At 34.9% G+C, this 20,674-nt stretch overlaps 1 long non-coding RNA gene across 1 annotated transcript; it reads left to right on the plus strand.

Annotated features, from left to right (window-relative positions):
• Positions 1–18,769: 18,769 nt before the first annotated feature.
• LOC124902547 (uncharacterized) lies at positions 18,770–19,648 on the plus strand. The gene is made up of 2 exons (XR_007062373.1): positions 18,770–18,852; positions 19,507–19,648. It is a non-coding gene; the product is annotated as an uncharacterized LOC124902547 (long non-coding RNA).
• Positions 19,649–20,674: the final 1,026 nt, after the last annotated feature.

The raw sequence follows: 20,674 nt of genomic DNA on the forward strand, positions 1-20,674 counted from the left end.
CCAGCCAAAGCCCAATGTCCCCAGGTCTTTTGCTTTCATTTTATCTCAACATTCTCTACACTTTGCCAGTCCTCCCTATATGACAGCTCTGGCTGTGACCTTGGAGAACTGTTTCCAGGTGGTCTCCAGGGATTTTTACTTCAATGCTCTCTGCCAATTTCAAGCACTTTATGGATTATATGTATGAAGCCAACTTAAAAATTCATAATAAATTCAAATTTTTAAAACCTAGCACCACCACTCATCTCATTGACTGGCATTATTTTATATGCATTTATATACATTCGTTCTGTATGTGGCACAGACTAATATTCAATAAATTCTAAAGTAATGAATGAGTATCAGAGCTAAGTCTATTCATTAGCTACTGACCACTAAAAGTAAACATTAAAGAAATGTTTGTTGATACTTTAGTTACAAATCTGATAAAGTAATAGTTTCTGGACCCATTAAGATTTAATTGAAATCTCAAAGTTAATTGAGTTGTACTAGTGTTGGTGGTTTAGAAACTAAATAATAAAGTTGAAATGTGCGAATCTGCTGATGATTAATTCACATTAGACATAAGATTAAATCATTAAACTGCCTTAGATATTTTATTTTTGACTCACAAATAAAAATGAATGCATTTGTCATGATTTAACAATTTGTAGAGTCTACTTTTTTCTGCCTTAAATCAAGAGTTAAGTCATTGATAACATATTTTAATCAACTTTTAACTATTGAATTTTGATAGTTTATGAGCATTCTGTAAAAATATAAAGATCTAGATTTAGAACACATTGGTGGTTATAACTATTTAGGAACTCAACACTCATCCTATTTTAGTAACTCTGGAAAATGAGGAATTATTATCAGTTTTCTAAATGGACTCTCATTTATCTGATCTTTGAGCACCTATTGTTCTGGATTGTATGGATTCCATATTGAACAGAAAAAGGACTCTGTCTTCAGAAGTGAACATTCAGCTGAGTAGCACAAGGAAAGGCAGTTATTACAAGCAAAATTTAATTAGGTTTTTACTCTTATTGGTTGTTTCTTCCTCTTTATGTTGCTCATATTCTTTGTTCACGTTTTGAACATTGAAATGATATTACAAATCAGAATTCATGATAGCATACCAATGAATTCTGGTCCCAAAACCCAAGTAGATTGTGATAAAATTTTTCCTTGATTAGAACTAACCTCTAGTTTGAGAGTGCATTGGATTTCATTTAATAAACTATGGTGACTTGTGCTTAGTGTATGAACCTTAACATTTATAATAATTGCCAAACTTGCCTGATGTCTAATTCAGTTGTATTGTTAATATATTAACAATCTAATTATGGCAGTACGGTATTTAATCACATTTAATTATTTTAAATAGATATGCATTGAATAAAAAAATTGCTACAAAACAAAAACATGTTCACATAAAAATTAATAGCATATTTTGTGTAAGTTCATTGCAATTTGACATTTGCTCTGATTGACAAGTCAAGAGTGATTTGTTCCTGGAATAGCTTAGTTTATTTTAGCAGGCTTTTTTTTTTTTTTTTTTTTTTTTTTTTGAGATGGAGTCTTGCTCTGTCGCCCAGGCTGGAGTGCAGTAGCACGAATCTTGGCTCACTGCAAGCTCCGCCTCCTGAGTTCACGCCATTCTCCTGCCTCAGCCTCCCTAGTAGCTGGGACTACAGGCGCCTACCACCACCCCCGGCTAATTTTTTTGTATTTTTAGTAAAGACGGGGTTTCACTGTGTTAGCCAGGATGGTCTCGATCTCTTGACCTCGTGATCTGCCCACCTCGGCCTCCCAAAGTGCTGGGATTATAGGCGTGAGCCACCGCGCCCGGCTGGAGTTTCGCTCTTTTTGCCCAGGCTGCAGTGCAATGGTGGATCTTGGCTCACCACAACCTCCGCCTCCTGGGTTCAAGAGATTCTCCTGCCTCAGCCTCCCGAGTAGCTGGGATTACAGGCATGTGCCACCATGCCCGGCTAATTTCGTATTTTTAGTAGATACAGGGTTTCTCCATGTTGGTCAGACTGGTCTCGAACTCGCGAACTGAGGTGATCCGCCCACGTCAGCCTCCCAAAGTGCTGAGATTACAGGCATGAGCCACCACGCCGGGCTGCAGTCTTTTTTTTAAAAAACCATCCAATTCAAAATTCATTTATGTTCAGTCACATAAATTGTGACTTGTTATTATAAGTTCCATATTTTAACAACCCAAATTATTATCTTTCTAACCATTCCCTGATTACTTCAATGGACCAAGATTTGTTAAAATGGCTAAATATCCACATGCAAAGAAAAAATAGTAAAGTAATATATAACAGGAGTTCTGCAATAAGAAAATATTCATAGTTAATTTATCCCACTTCCTATTTACATGACAGTATATTAGAGACAGTTCTATTGATTCAGAATTTCTTATATTTTTACATCATTTACTCGATTTCTCAAGGTCTACAAACAAGTTACCACTATCAGTTAAAAATCAGTGTTGCCAGTACTCAATTCAAATATCTATCCAACCACACATTTGATGAAAAAAATTTAGCAGAGAACAGGGAACATTGTCCTAAAATAGCACTATTTAAAAACAGGGATTTTTTAAAAGTCTATATCCATTATACCCATGGCCTTTGTGCTATTCTTGTGACTGAAAGCAACAAATTCGGACCTTCAGGAATAGCAAAAGGAAGATATAAACATTTAATCATTTGGGAGCAAGACTGCAGGAAAACGTGCCATTACCCAGAACATTTATCACCGTTTGATGCAGTGAACATTTAATGTCCAAAATTGTCAGCAATTTTTTACAAGAAGCAACAGCTGAGAAATGCCAAAATCTATTTGATTTGAACATTTAAGTTGTATCTCAAGAACAACTTTGTAGAGAAGTTGCCAGGATCATTTCTTAAAAATAATTTCTGTTTAATTCTGTTTGGCTTCATAGGAAAATTTTTATGAGATTTGACAATTACAGTTTTTTCATAAGAGCTATAGTAGTATACCAAAGAAATTATACCATAAAAATAACTTGATAATCAGTAGAGAAATATTAAAAGCTTTGAAACAATATTCTAAATCCTCTCTTTTAGTACTAGAATATAAAATACAGAATTTGAAAAAATAACTATGAGAATCATGAGAAAATGTCAAGAGAAGGTCTAGGGCCTTCTCTTATGGAGGCCTACCTCCATAAATGTTATTTGTGAATGACTTTGGGTGACAGTGGTCCCCCTTTGTCTACCTAGGATACAGTCCAAGACCGCCAATGTATTCTTGAAACCACAATGGTACTGAGGGCTTTGTATACTAGGATTGCCCTATACATACATAGGTATGATAAAGTTTACTTTATAAATTAGGCACAGTAAGGGGCTAACAACAATAATATAATAAAATAGGTCTGTTACTATAATATACTGTAGTAAAAGCTATATATATGTGGTCAGTCTCTCTCCCTTTCTCTCAAAATATCTTATTGTACTCATCCTTCTTCTTCTTGTAATGATATGAGATAATAAAATGCCTACATGATAGGATGAATTGAGGTAAATGATGTAGGAGTTGTGACATAGCACTTAAAAGTTATAAATTGTTTACTTCTGGAATTTTCCATTTAATATTTTTGGACCACAGCTGACCGTAGGCAACTGAAACCATGGAAAGTGAAGCCATAGATAATGGGGGACTACCGTATAAGTGTAAATCTCATTAGAAACAGCCAGGAAAGAATAAGATAACTAGCTTAGTTAACTAAGAACTTTTTGGAAAAAAATAATTTATAAGTTTCTCCATTTCACTAAGGATCCCAAAAACACATATGAGAACTAGAAGACTAATATATGGGCAATTTGAAGGGTATCAGTTTGAAATTTTGGAAACTTTGGAATCTTTCGTCATGGCATCTTTCGGCAGTGACATAAATTGGGAGACTGTATACGTATGAATCATTATTGCCAATAATAACCCAAGGAAGTACATAGCTAATCTCTCAAATTAAAACTGATTTTAAATGACTCTAGCAACTTTTCTGTTTAGCTGAAAACATAGCCAATTGCTAGATTGAACATTTTTATGATGAAAATCAAAAATACTATTTTCTAAGGCTTAGTTATTGAAAAACACGTATGACACAACTTTTTCTATATGTCAATGATTCTTATTGCTTCCTTTTTCTTAGGCTTATGAGAGGGATGGTGAATAACACAAAATCTAGTGATGTTATTTATTAATGTTAGCAGTATATAATGTATGCAGGTTTGAGGCATGTGACTTCACATGATTGAGTTTTAAGTACTAAGTGGGCTTCCTAGACAAATTTCATCCTTTCTACTACTGTGAATTCCAATCTCCACCAGAAGCCACAAAAATATATTTTCTGCTCCTGATATTCTGGGGCAACAATTTATCCTGTATAAAGATCTGAGAATTTCCTGTCCTATAAAAAGGGCGAGACTTTTAAAAACAATTTATCTCATATAGCTGTGTCACAAAGTGTGAGACCAAATTCTTCTTGATTTATAACTATAATAGGCACAGAGCAGTATATTATAAAAGATATTGGTTTCCAAATATGCTTAGAACATATTCTTTATGACTGGATGTATTTCTTTCCATTATAGTCAGCGAAATATGACATACACTTCAACTGGCTGAGAAAAAAGAGCTATATCCTCTATCAAAGACAAATGGCTAAAGCAGAACTCTCAGATTTTCCTATAGAAGCAAATCTTTCAGCTGATTTATTTGGAGGCACTGTTGTTGTCCCAAACTTTATAAGGTTAAGGGAAATGATCTAGTGAGAGCTTAGGTAGATTCCGAGACTTTATTCAAAAGTAAAATATTCGATGTTGTCATCAAGCAGATCCTGTAAGTTATTCTGTTGATTTTGAAAACAAGATAGGCATCAGATTATTTCAAACTTTTCATTGCAAATAAGAAGTATCCATCTTGAATGAGCTTAAGCAGAGAGTATATTAAACATAAGGATGCTGGTTGCCTCAGAGAAGCCAAGTTGAGGAGTGGACCGAGGCCTCCACAACAAGCTAGAACTCAGGACTCAGAGCACCATCATGGCTACTCTTGCTCTTCTATGCACTCCTCTCTATAAATCTGCTCTGATCTTCTCCCCTTCCCTCCCTCTAATTCCACTTATCTCTTCTCCAAGACCCTCCCCTGACACCCAGTCTTGGATCAGTCTTGGACTCTGGACTTAAATGGAGGCAAATAATCTCTCTTCCAGAACTTGGGAGCTAGGATTGGATCTGTAACACGTAAATTGTAAGGGATTTAAACTGCCATAATGCCATTCTTGTCCATAAAGCACTTTAGTCTTCATCTTACATGACCCGCCTGCAACATGTAAAGTGATCAACTACTACCTGTTTCTTGGAACTCTCCATCCCTACTTAAAAATTCAATTTAACATAAATAAGATTTGTATAAAGCAGTGGATGCCACCCAACCTCGATGAACCTACAGATCTAGATTATGAAAAGACCAGAGGAAGTAGGAAATATTTCCATAGTGTTGTTATACGTATTTCCTCTTCCCAACCTTACAGGGAAACATAAAATTCACAGAAGTTAATGGCAAAACAACCTTCAAAGAAATTTTAAGGATCATAGTATTTGCGAAGCACCTCGCCAAAATGTGGGTTAGAGAATCAGGACAGTAACATACATGGAAGGACAATTAAGTGATTGAATAAACCAAAAGCTAAATATGAAATGAAAATGTCTGGTTAAGATTTCCACATGAAATTTTAATTAGCTCTAGTAATGAATGTTATTTCTAATGTGTAAATGTAAACATACTGCCATGGAAAATGTACTTGAATGTTTAATTAGGAGTTAACTTTGTCTCACTCTCAGTTTGGATTGTTAGTTAATATCCAGTTTTCATAAAATCTCAGTAAATAAACATGGTAGAGTAGAACTCCATGAAATAATAAGAGGTAAAGTTTAAATGCACTTTTACCAGTTTCTACTCAGGAGTTTCCAAATTTATTAATTAAAAGCATCACTGAGACAGTCCACATAAATACATCCATTATTGCCATTTAGGAAATTTATGCTTATAGGTACCAAATTTGCATGCTATTCATAGTCCAATTTTTACTTAATTAAAAATTTGGAAAATTAAAAAATTATGCAATGACTATGTCTAAAATTCATCAACCAGCAAAGCTGAAATATAGTATTGTCATTTTTAGAAGTTTCCTCCAGAAAGGTATTGAGGATTAATTAAGGATAAAATTTTTAAAGCATTAGGCCATTTCAAGCATCTATATAGCTAATAAGATTTAGACAAATGTGGCTTTATGCTAACCAAACTGAAATTTTATTCAAGAAGCAAAAATAAATTAATATCTACAAATGCAGTTAGAAATAGTCTGCAAAATACTAGATTTATGAAATCTCTTAAGCAGCCTCTAAAAAACATGGTGTGAGATTACATTTTAGTTTTGCTAATATTAAAAACACAAGAATAGCTTTTCATGGGTTAGCTAATTAAGCCAAATGAAACAGAAATCATAACATATAAACAAAATTACTTATATCTCAATTCCTTTATCTGATTGTGTATATCAATGTCATTATGATGTTGTGAAGCACAAATGCCAAAATGCCTTGAAAGTATATGATCATTTTCCCCTACGTGAGTCAATGTATTGGACTCCGTATTGGCTGTTTCAGAGTTAATACCATGTGTTTACCAAATCCTACTTCCATTTCCTCCTGGGCCTACAATTAGACTACATTCCCCAGTCTTCCCATGTGTTTGTAATCTAAGAATGGCAATTCTATGCTTGAACTTGGCTAATTAATGGATTTTAGAAAAATGCACTGCATACTTTTTTTCACTTTCCAAGTTTTTAATTAAATAAAAATTGGACTATGAATAGCATGAAAATATGATGCCCATAAGCATGAATTTCCTAAATAGCAATAATGAATATTTTTATATAGATAATTTCAGTGATACTTTTAATGAATGAAGTTTGAAATTTCTGAGCTATAACATGTAGAAGTAAATCTAATGTTTAATTTATGTCTTCAATGGAATGTGTGCAGAAGTGATGTCTGCCACTTTCCAGCCAGACCTCGACAATCCTCCTGCATGGTCTTCCATACAGAAGCACATTGTCTAAATCTTATTAGCTATATAGATGCTTGAAATGGCCTAATGCTTTAAAAATGGTCAGCTGTCTGAAAGGACCCAGTGTAGAATACTGAGGCCCTAGGAAATGGTGGAGCCACAAGAGGAAAGAAGCCCAATTTCTAAACGAATATACAGAGAAAAACCCACCATAGCACTACACCGTACGGTCCGATGAGTGAGAAACAAAATTGTACTTTATTAAGATTTGAAAGTTGTAATAGCAGTTAGCCTGTGCTGATTTAAGAGCCTGACTTATGTCTAATAAGTGTATCACTGACCCTGGGGAATAATAAGCTGGAGACTTAAAGCACGTTAAGTCCAAACCCATTACCATCAATGGGAAGTAAGTACACATGTAGGCTCGAGAGTTTCATTGCCACACAGTAATCTTTTATAAAAATGTGATTTAATAAACAGCAATGGAATAATAATAGCTATTTAATATACATATGAGTCAGACACTGAGTCAAGCACTTGACATGCATTATCTCAATACATCTTCATGTCACTGTATAAGATAAGCAAGATTACCACCCCTATTTCATAGGTGGGAAAATTGAGTCTCAGAGAAGTTAAATACTGTATACATGGCCATGAAGATCATAACTCCAGTTAACCGTTGAACAACACAGGAGTTAGAGACACTAATACTTTGTGCAGCAGAAAATCTATGTATGACTTTTGACTCCCCAAAAACTTAACTAGTAATAGCCTACTTAATGTTGACTGGAAGCCTTACCAGTAACATAAACAGTTGAATAGCATATATGTATTATACACTGTATTCTTACAATAAAGTAGTCTAGAGAAAAGAAAATGTTATTAAGAAAATCATGAGAAAGAGAAAATATATTTACTATTCTAAGTGGAAGTGGGTCATTATGAAGCAGAGTCATTCATCTGGGATAAATACCCAAGGTTCGTTTTCTCACGCCAAGGAAATCAAGGACACGGACACACAAGAAGTGTGTTTAAGAGCAGAGGTTTAATAGGCAAGAGAAAAGAGAAAAGCTCTCTCTCCTGCAGAGAGAGAGGAGCTTCAGAGTGGGTCTTCTGGTTCTGTGGTGAAATGCACAGGATTTTATAGACGAGCTTGAGGAGGCGGTGTCTGATTTACATAGGGCATAAGAGATTAGTCGGACCAGTTGTGCCCTTTGCATAGCATGCAAAGAAGCTGGCAATCCCACACTAATCTTTTAGTATGCAGATGGAGTCTCTACCTGGCCGATGCCATGTTGCCTGCTTTTTACTGCACACATGGCAACAAAGAAAAGGGAAGAGGGAACCTCCATGCTGAAAATACCTGGCTTCCAGGTATCCCTTTTCTATTGGCAAGCTTTTAACTTGCTTATCTATGCTTGAAGCTTGATTTTTCAGGCTGCTTTTTGTTGGAAAAGAAATGATTTAGGGGCTGCTTTTCCTTTAAAGGAAACCTTACCAAGGACTCTCTTACCCTATCTGCCTAAATAATTTCTAGCTCCTGTATCAGTTATAAAAATCTTCATCTTCATTGTCTTCACATTAAGTAGACTGAGGAGGAGGGATTGGTCTTGCTGTCTCAGGGGTGGCACTAGTGGAACAAAGTCTGCTTGTAAGTGGGCCCATACAGCTCAAACCCATGTTATTCAAAGGACAAGTGTAGTTTAAAAATTGTTTGAACCAAATCTATCTGACTCCCAACCTATGCTCTTAACCACTTGAGGAAAGAGCAGGATAGAGAAACAAGGATAGCAGGGATGACAAGCAGGACACCAGCAATCTGAGTCCCTTCGTGGCATAATTACTTCGTCATTCTGGACCTCAGGTTTCTAACATGGTCTTTCATCTGTCCCTTAGCTTTGAATAGTGGTATTTGGGCATTCTAATTCAGAACTAGGATGTTTGAAACTGCTCAAATATCAACCTCTTTCTAAATCAAGTGTTCTCATACTGATGAGCTATTTCTTAAAATAGAAAATATTTCAGAAAATTCTAAATTTGGAAAGTTGACATAAAAAAGAAGCTGGTACCCATACCAGGTAAGGGAATGTTTATAACAGAAGGTAATGTTTTTGGTCCCTTGGAAAGAGACAAGCAAAAAGGTTATACTTAGGATTTAGAAACTCAGGCTTATAATAAACAATGAGTCAAAGATAATGTGTGACAAAGAAATTTGAGACCTCGCCTGAGAAACTATTTCATCGGTAAGCCTGAGAACCACCTACACTCAATCTTAACAATAAAGAAGCAACTGAAATAAGCTCATTTTCTATGTATCAGTCTTAAGGAGGAAGGGCCCATCAAGAAAACTTGGACTCTGTCTAATGGGACAGAAGTGGCATTTCATGCCTTATGGAATGTCTTCAGGGAACATCTTGCTTTTCAGAGGATTATTTGAGACCCAGCTCAATATTGACTACATCTCCTATGAGAACAAGTCAAATAATGGGCTCCAAAAAGAAACCAAGAAGGATCTTCTATACATTATAAGTCACAGACATCTTGGAAAAAAAAAAAATCCTTTCCAGAAAAACTGCCTACCAGGGTCACAGTATCGGAATAGGGATATGGATGACTGCTCTACACTATCTTTTTCTATTTTCTCTTTAATATCTAATAAATTTATTTTCCTTCTGGGAGGTGGCAGTATTAATAACTTTTAAACTGAGTACAACATGTGAGTAGACAAGAGATAATCAAAATGAGCTGTTTGTAATATATTAAAGATAATCTAAGAGTAATTCTACTGTACCTGGATACACAGACTTTGTTCACATATAGATCTTTTACAGAGCATTCCACTTAAAGTTGCATGATTATCTACATTAAGATTCCCTTGTTGTTGTTGTTTTAAAACAAACAAACAAACAAAAAACTTTCAGGCAAATATAAAATTTTCTATAAAAATCTTGACCTAAGAAATATGTAGCCAATCTAAACTGGAATCTTATGTTTCCTTATAACAATGCCATTTATATTTTATAATTTAATTTGGTCTCAAATAGTCTTATTGTGATTTGGGATTGTTGTAACATTCTATTTTAAACAAATTGAGTGCTTTTAAAGTATACCTTAATCCAGTTTATTTTTGAGCCATGTTTTTCTATTTATAATGGATATTTACACAAAATAAACTGATCTTTCATCTGTCCTTTAGCACTAACTCTGCTTCTGAATGCACATAAATAGCTAAAAGTGCCAAGACAGAAAAAACAATAAAATAAAGAAAACGATAAAAAAAAAAAAAGGAGTACAAATCTGCCTGGAAATAACTTCTGTGGGTAAGAACAAAATGTATGAAAGGATTCTCAGAGGAGTTCATTGCTTTATATAATCACTCTATAAAAACATTTCAAATACCATGAACAGCAGCATCCATCTCAGCTGTAATTGTCACACATCCCACTTGTAATACAGTTGAGATCTCTTCCAATAATGTTACTACCAAGAATATGAGATGATAAACCCAGCTAAAAGCCATGCCAAATCTGGCTTGGATCAAGTTGAGTGGCAGTAACTCTTTATAATATGGAAAAGAAGGAAAGAAGCTTTAACTTTCTTAATTGGATTAAACTCAAAGGGGAAAGATATTTATCTTGTCTACCTTGCCTGTCTAAGCTACTCAAGCTATCACTGTCATCAGCACTTAAGTTCTTTCCCCAGCCTCAGTCAGCAGCTGTTCACTGCTCACACATATTGGTGCCACTTTCCTGCTTAGAAATATTTTAGGAAAACACTTAGTGGCATTAGAGATTTTGCCCACTGTTAAATGCTTACTATTCAGCTTTTCATTACACTCAGCTACAAAGACCTCAGGTTGAGGAATGGCTCATTTGCCCACATAATTTTTTAAGGATCAATTCTCACATTCTTTTAAAAACTTATTTACTATCTATATAGTTAAAGTCTTAAGGATTTTAGCTTTAAACCTCAATTTTTTTTTGAGATAGGGTCTTGCTCTGTTGCCCAGGCTGGAGTTCAGTGGCCTGATTATGGCTCACTGCAGGCTTGACAACTTGGACTCAAACAATCCTCCAACCTAAGCCTCCCAAGTAGCTAGGACTACCAATATGCACCCCACACCCACCTAATTTTTGTATTTTTGTAGAGATGGGGTTCCATCATGTTATCCAGGCTGGTCTCAAATTCCCAGCCTCAGGCAATTCACCTCAGCCCCCCATGTGCTGGAATTACAGGTGTGAGCCACTGTGCCCAGCTTACACATCAATTTTTATATCTGTATCACATCTGGCAAGGTACACACTCACTCAGAATTTTCCTTCACACCTACCTCACCAAAATATGCTCAAGAACACTACATGAAAGTATTAAATATCAATGGGAAAATAAAAGGTCTAAATAAGTGAAGAGATTTATCACATTCATCAATTGGAAGACTCAATATTTTCATACATCCATCATAATTAAAACTTTTTTTCTAACTATATGATTAGGAAAGTAGAAAGGCAAGCTATAGACTGGGAGTAAATATCCTCTATACACATATTTAACAAAGGCCTATAATCAGGATATATTTAAAAATTCAATGATAAGAGAATAAACAATAAAAGCAGAGTGAAATACTTGAATATATACTTCATAAACAAACATAAAAGTTACAAGTAAGCACATGAAAAAGTTTTCAAAATAATTTGTCTTCAGGGAGTTTAAGTCAAAAGTACAATGATATATGGCTTCATACCCTCCAGAATGGCTGAGGTTTAAGACTGACTACTGACAAGTGTTAGTAGAAATGTGGAACAATTGGAACTCCCAGGGATTACTAGTGGGAGTGATAAAAGTGAAATCGTTTCACAGTTTATTAATCATAAAGTTAAAATTACTCTGCATATTACTTAGCAAACACTCTAGATATTTACTTGAAATATATTAAAACATGTTCAAACAAAGACTTCAACTCAGAGGTTCATAGCAGCCTATTCATAATAGCCAATAATTGGAAAGAATACAGATATCTTCAACAAGGGGGTGCATTAATACAATTTGGTATATTCACACAGTGTAGCACCACTCAGCAATAAAAAGAATAACCATGGATAATCATGAAAGAACTTGGATAAAAACAAAGATTGATAAAAAAAGTAACAACATGGGTAATCTCACAGACATAGTGCAGAGAGAAAGAAGAATGAATTATTTTTTCAACTGCTTATGCAAGGATTCCGTTTATGTGAAATTCTAGAACTGGCAAAATTCATCTATTGTTTTACAAATCAGATCAGTGATTGCCTGGGATTAGTTGAGATGTAAGCCACTGACTCAAAAGCACACGAGGGAACATTCTGGGCACAAGGATATGTCCTATATATTAACTGGCTTGATGGAAATTTAAACACTGAACTGTACACTTAAATGTGTGAATTGTATTGCATGTAAACTATACAGTAATGATAATAATATAATGAAGTATAGAACAAACAATATTCTCCTTGATTAGTGGATCTGTGGTCAATCCCTGAGCTTCTAATTCTGTGCTAATGGAACAATTTACTAATGGATTAAACCTGGAAATGCTATTGTTAGTCATCTTTTAATAAGAATTACACACATTTTTTTCAATAAAATACTAACATTATGTATAGCTGAGGTATTTAAGTTAAGAAACTACATGCAAAGTTATAAACAATTACAAATTATCTCAAGGCCATTTCAAAGTCTTACTGCACTGAAACCAATTAAATCAATATGCAGTTGACACTTGAACAACACAGGTTTGAACTGCACAGGTCCACTTATACATAGGTTTTTTTCCAATAAATATATTGGAAAAATTTTTGGAGATTTGCAACAATTTTTCAAAAGTTGCAAGTGAACTGTATAGCCTAGAAATATATTTAAAAAAATAAAAAGTTAGATATGTTATGAATGCATAAAATATATATAGATATTGGTCTGTTTTATCATTTACTACCATAGAACATAAACAAATGTATTGTGAATAGTTGAAATGTATCAAAACTTATGTACACAACATTCACAGACCATACATGATGCCATTTGCAATTGTGAGAAATGTAAACAAACACAAAGATGTAGAATTAAATCATAACTGCATTAAATTAACTATAATACTGTATATACCTTACTACTGTAATAATTGAATAGCTATCTCCTCTTGCTATTGTGGTGAGCTCAAGTGTTGCAAGTATCTACTTAAAACACTGTGTGATGCTCATCATCTCCATGTGAGCCATTCATCTCTCCAGTATATCGTGTATTGCAGTAAATAGTGATCTCTGTTGGTTCTCATGTATTTTTCATTATATTTCAGGCAATACTTTAAACCTTGAATATCATCATCAGACCCATACAAAGTGCCATTAGTGATGATGGAAGTACTCCCAAGAAGCAGAGAAAAGTCATGACATCACCAAAAAATAAAGTTGAATTGCTTGATATGTACCATAGATCTATGTCTACTGCTGCAGAGACCCACCATTTCAGACAAATGATTCATCTTGTAAACAGACAAAGTAAACATACAGAATCAATATTGCACAGTACCATAAATGTAATTTCACTTCCTTATGATTTTCTTAACATTTTCTTTACTCTAGCTTACTTTATTGTAAGAATACAGTATACAGGGACTTCAAAAAGCTCATGGAAACATGGATAAAAGATAAAACTAAAAAATATAAACTTTTCAACATAAGCTTCTGCAAGTTCAAGATACTTTTTAAAGCAATAATTCCAGACATTTAGTTCATCCCTAAAGAACTAAGAATCTTTGGATTTTAACCACATCTATGCAGTCTTTATTACATAATTAACTGAAGAAAAATGGGTGCCATTTACAGATTTTTTAAGATTAGGAAACAGAAGTCAAAACGAGCCAATTCAGGACTGTAAGGTGGATACCTAATGATTTTCCATAAACACTGTAACAAAATTGCCCTTGTTTGATGAAAGGAATGAATAGGAGCATTGTTATTGTGAAAAAACACTCTCTGGTAAAGCTTTTCTAGGCTTTTCTGCTAAAGCTTTGGCTTTCTGAAAACATTCTCATAATAAGCAGATGTTCTTTGGCCCTCCAGAAAGTCACCAAACAAAATGCTCTGAGCGTCCTCCCAAAAACTGTTGCCACAATTTTGCTCTTGACTGGTTTGCCTGTGCTTTGACAGGATCACTTCTACCCCTTGGTAGCCATTGTTTTGATTGTGCTTCATCTTCAAGATCATACTGGTAAAGCCATGTTTCATTTCCTGTTACAATTCTTTGAAAAAATGCTTCAGGATCTCAATCCCACCTGTTTAAAATTTCCATTGAAAGCTCTACTGTTGCCTGCAGCTGATCTAGGCACACTTTTGGCATCAGTCAGGTGTAAATTTTGCTCAGCTTTAATTTTTCAGTCGGAATTGTGTAAGCTGAACCAATTGAGATGTCTGTGGTGCTGGCTATTGTTCTGTTATAAATTGTCAGTGCACCTCAATTAGGGCATGAACAAGATTAATTTTTTCCTCACTAATTAACGTGGATGGTCTGCTGTATCTTTTAAACTGTGGATTTTATCTTCAACATCTGCTTTCTTAACACAAATTATACATTTCTAAAGTGCTAATTTCTTTGGGGCATTGTCCCCATAAACTTTTTTATAAAGCATCAGCATTTTCATCATTCTCCCACACAAGCTTCACCACAAATTTGTTCTTGCTCTGACAGAGTCTCTTCTGAAACTGAGGTCTTATCTTCAGTGCCTCAAACTAGATCCTGTTCAGACATGTTACAAGATAGCATGAGTTTCTTTTGGTGCAAAAAAGTTTTGAAATCTATCCTTAGCTTTTTCATAATATACAAATTTTTCATGAACTTTTTGAAGATCCCTTATGTAATACATATAACATACAAAATTTGTGTTAATATATTTTGTAAATATATGTGTTAATATATACTATATATAACATATATATATCCCTTACATGATACATAAAACATACAAAATATGTGTTATTTGACTATGTGTTCAGTAAGGCCTCTTGTCAACAACAGACTACTAGTAGTTAAGTTTCGGGTGAATCAAAAGTTATATGAAAATTTCCATGCAGTAGACCCAGAGAAACACAATTACTGCTGTTACAGTTTATTTAAAAGAGTTTTTGGCTGGGCACAGTGGCTCACGCCTGTAATCCCAGCACTTTGGGATGCCGAGGTGGGCGGACCACGAGGTCAGGAGATCCAGACCATCCTGGCTAACACGGTGAAACCCCGCCTCTACTAAAAATAAAAAAATAAAAAAAATTAGCCAGGTGTGGTGGTGGGCGCCTGTAGTCCTAGCTACTCAGGAGGCTGAGGCAGGAGAATGGTGTGAACTCGGGAGGCAGAGCTTGCAGTGAGCCAAGATCGCGCCACTGCACTGTAGCCTGGGCAAGAGAGAGAGACTCCATCTCAAAAAAAAAAAAAAAAAAGAGTTTTCAACAGTGTATGATGTTATCATCTTAGAATTGATGGTCTTTTGGGGGATAGGTTAAATATGTACATTTGCATGATAATTCTTATTTTAATAGCAATGTTAACAGGAAAGTAAAAGAAATATTTCTTTTGTCCATGTCTATGAAAAAGTGAAAAATAAAACCAAGAGTATTTTTTAAATGGCAATGCACACATTTCTTTACAGTAGTCCCATCTTTCAAAATGCAAACCAAGCATGTCTGTGTCAAAGGAATTAATCTGGCTGCTATACTCATGTTTCTTGTCGGCTGCTCTATTTGTATAACCAGCCCTTGCTTCAGAATATACACAGGAAGCGGATGGCAGTTCTTGCTCTCCTGGTCCTTAGAAACAAATAACAACTAGGAGCTTTAAAAAAAAAAAAATACAGTAGGCTGGGCACGGTGGCTCACGCTTGCAATCCCAGCACTTTGGGAGGCCGACAAGGGCAGATCATAAGGTCAGGAGTTCCAGACCAGCTTGTCCAACATGGTGAAACCCTGTCTTTACTAAAAAAATACAAAAATCAGCCGGGCGTGGTGGTGCAGGCCTGTAGTCCCAGCTACTCGGGAGGCTGAGGCAGGGAAATCCCTTGAACCTGGGAGGCCGAGGTTGCAGTAAGACAAGATCGCACCACTGTACTCCAGCCTGGGCGACAGAATGAGATTGTGGCTCAAAACAAACAAATGAAAATAGAGTATATAATCAAGTCAATTCGACTTTAAAACATTTGAAATATTGTTTTAAAAAAAATTGTAGAGAAGAGAAAGTCCCATGTTAACTAACAAGTTTGAGGAGTTCGTTGACATGTTCTAATGGTTATTTTTAAGTGATTATAACAGACAAGCATGGTATATGTTTCCAAAATATGTGTGTCATCTAAATCCTTAACAAAAATTTTTATTTACTATGAAAAAAGAAGAAAAGAATGTTAATAATATTAACTTTATTACCAGGTAACATCCATGGAGAAAGATAAATGTATAAAAATAAAAGACACAGTAACTAGTAGCTTCAGACTTTTATATAAAAGATATGTAACTTCATTTGATAATTCACAATTATACTACTCATTGAAGAATAGGAATCGATGTTTTGTCACCTCAAAACATGATAATTGAAACTAGAAGCCTGTCACTGTGTCATAAATAACATATTGATAAAAGTGTACATAAATGTACATAAAACATGAGACATTATTGTCAAAGGTCCATCTTTTCATATTTATGTTTGTATGTATGTGTAAATTATTTTAGAATGAGCCTACAACAAAAGGAGAAATTTTAACCCAAAATAAACTATGATGGGAAAAATCATTTAACATTCCCTATTTGCATAGTCCATACTATATTATCAGTCCTTACAGGAAGTCAACAAAACTCAGTGACATAAAGAAACAGATTCTTCATTTTCTAACTGTAAAACTGCTAACCTTAAGAATTAAAGATAATGTTTTCTTCTCATCTAGAAAAAAGTAGAAGTATTTTATAGGAAACCATATTGAGTATGATATATTTTTTAGTTTTGTTAGGTTCTGGCAACAGAATATGTGTGTGTGTATATATATGTATATATATGTGTGTGTATATATATGTGTGTGTGTGTGTATATATATATATGGTCTATCCCCCAAAAGATCATCAATTCTAAGATGATAACATCATATACTGTTGAAAACTCTTTTAAATGAACTGTAACAGCAGTAATTGTGTTTCTCTGGGTCAACTGCATGGCAAATGTTGCGTGAATCAATACATCATGAGAGGTATACAATTTATCTTTGTGTGATCCACAAGAAATTCAAGTGCATAATTAGATTATCCATGGCCTGTCGAAAGAACAAAATAAATAGACCTTGTTACCTGAGAGAAAGAGAAAGAAATGGAATAAATATGAGCCAAAGTGGCAAGGTGCTAGAATTGTCAAAAGGAAAAATATTTCTTTAGAAAGGACTGGGAGCTACAACACTAAAGAAGTAATGAGGTCTTACTCTTGCAACTCTAGAGTTGAGATTTATATCTCTCATATATAGTATGATTAAGCTATATATAATACAGCATTTATATATTTTATTATATAGTTGGTATCATGTGCATAGACCATGTCTAGAAAAATACAAATAAAATTTAACAGTGCTTTACTTGAAGAAAACTGAAAAAAAAAAAAAAACTGAAGGATTTTTAACTCTGTATCATATAAATGTCTGGGTTGTTTGATTTACTATAATAACTTTTATAATTTAAAAAAGTTTTTTTTTGTTTGTTTTTGTTTTTGTTTTTGTTTTGAGGTGGAGTCTTGCTCTGTCCCCCAGGCTGGAGTGCAGTGGCGCGATCTTGGCTCACTGCAAGCTCCACCTGCCAGGTTCACGCCATTCTCCTGCCTCAGCCTCCTGAGTAGCTGGGACTACAGGCACCCGCCACCACGCCCGGCTAATTTTTTGTATATTTAGTAGAGATGGGTTTTCACCGTGTTAGCCAGGATGGTCTGGATCTCCTGACCTTGTGATCTGCCCGCTTCGGCCTCCCAAAGTGCTGGGATTACAGGCGTGAGCCACCACGCCCGGCCAAAAAAAAGGTTTTTAAAAACCTGCACATTTAAAACCATTGAAGAAAGACACACATCAAAATGGGAAAGTCTTTGGGTGGTAGAATGGCAGGGAATTCCTAAAATCTTCCCTCTATTTTTTCTTTAGTATTGCTTTTCAAAGTGAAAAGTTATCCAAGTGATGACTTAAATATGCAGTTTGATACTATGTTTTGGTATATATACAATATATGCTCATTCCTCCTTTCTTGTGTCTGATTTTTTTCTCTAAGCCTCAGAAAATGCTCCCAGTCATAATGTTTTGAGTAACCCATTCACCTTTCTGTTTCTGTTGGCATAGATCTCAATTCTTGCCTCTGATATCCTGATTGAAGATACATCTCACCCCGTTCCTCTATACAATTACAGCCTCCATTGCTTGCTGTTTCTATTTCTTCATGTAAATTTCTTTAATTTTGCCTTTAAAGCAAATTTTTTTTGAAAGAGTAAGAAAAATCTTCACATCCTTGGTCTGACAATCTTGCTTTGTTGTTTGCACAACAAACAGGTTCCCAGAGTGGTGGAACCTGTCACTCAGCAGTAGAGATTTCAGCAGTAAAGGTTTCATCTCTGTTTATGAAGCAGAAGGAGTTTATTGCCTTTCACATCCTCTGCAGTCATGGGATTATCACTTACAGTGTTCGCCTGTTTGAAAAATGAGATTGTTGCTCTTGAGAACCACAGGTATGTGTTTGTCTCAACACGGAGAGATTCATAAAATAAAAAGAGGATATAAACCTTATGCTGAGACATTGACTTGGTTTTATTACTAGCTTCAGAGAAAACATTTCTTATTTAAATACTAAGTGAGATGTAAAAGAAAATATATGAGGATATATAAGTGAAAGTTTGTAAATATTTCTAAAGAACATATATGCAAATCATTTTTCTAAAACTTTTCCAATTTAGATTTACTTAAATATTTTCCTATTTTATGTTAGTACCTCTCTATATTTTTATGTCATCCGTAGATCTCAAAGGATAAAGGAGAGACTTTTTAATCAGTCTTACTTCACAGAAAATAAAATAGCTGCTGTTATTCAATTAATGTGACATTGAATGTACTGACAGAGTTTCTTTGGCTTAAATAATTTAAAATCAGGTATTTGGGAATGATCAGATTCATGTTTCTAAGAGAACGTATCCCCACTGCTACATATTGAATAGTGTATCTTCACCAAATTCATATGTTGACATCCTAATCCTCAATGTGATGGTATTAGGAGCTGGGGCCTTTGGAGGGTAAATTAAACAATTGGGGTACAATCCTCAAGTATGAGATTAGCACCCATATAAGAAGAGTAATAAGATAGCTTGCACCTCTCTCTCTGCTCTCAGCCATGTGAGGACAAAATGAGAAGAAGATGGCCATCTGTGAATGAGAAAGAGGGTCCTCACCAAGAACCCAACCATGAGGCACCATGATCTCAAGCTTCCAGCCTACAGAACTGTGAGAAATAAATTTTTGTTGTTTAAGCCACTCAGTCTATGGATTTTACTGCATCAGCCCCAAGTGACTAAAACACCCACTTGTTTTCCTTAAAATGTTACAGATGCACATAGTGGTAAAACTATTTCTCTGCTCTTAGTAAAAAACTGACTTTTTCCCCAAAGTGTCCTCATATAAAGTTACATTATTTGAAAGTTTTCAAAGCAATAGAGACCTGTCAGAAAAGGAAAAAATAGCAAAGAAAAGAAAAAGGTAGGCCTGGTGCGGGGGCTCACGCCTGTAATCCCAGCACTTTGGGAGGCCGAGGTGGGAAGATCATGAGGTCAGGAGATCGAGACCATCCTGGCTAACACAGTGAAACCCCGTCTCTACTAAATATACAAAAAATTAGCCGGTCATGGTGGCAGGCACCTGTAGTCCCAGCTACTCAGGAGGCTGAGGCAGGAGAATGGAGTGAACCTGGGAGGCGGACATGCAGTGAGCCAAGATCACGCCACTGCACTCCAGCCTGAGCGACAGAGCGAGACTCCATCTCAAAAAAAAAAAAAAAAGAGAAAGGTAACATCTGCTGTTGCAGAAGAAAGCGCTGTTATACATCAGTACTGGGAATTTATCTTTTTGGATTGGAATGTGGCAGTGCCCATTAAGCTTTTATTAAGCGCAATTTCAATTGTTTTGACTCATTATTTGCACTTTTAGAAAATTTCTTCTAAGGTAATCATTTAAAATATTCACAGAGTTTGCTAGGAGAAAGCATAATAAAAAATCTAACAGAATTTGGAATTTGATATAAATAAATATTTAATAAATATACTATGGAAGAACACACATTTTATTCAAAAACACAACATGCCATCAGTTCAAATAGTGTAAATGAATATGTGGTGACAGTGAAAGCCATAAAATATTAACAGAAAATAGCAAATTACAAACTGTATATACAGTGCAATTTTATTTTTTCTAGTATTTGCATAGAAAACTTATGTACAAAAATGTTAACAATATCTCTGTGTAATGGTTTGTCATTGTCATCATCACCATCTACATTCTTGCATT

Source organism: Homo sapiens, chromosome 10 (assembly GCF_000001405.40).
Source record: "Homo sapiens chromosome 10, GRCh38.p14 Primary Assembly".
Lineage (NCBI taxonomy): Eukaryota > Metazoa > Chordata > Mammalia > Primates > Hominidae > Homo > Homo sapiens.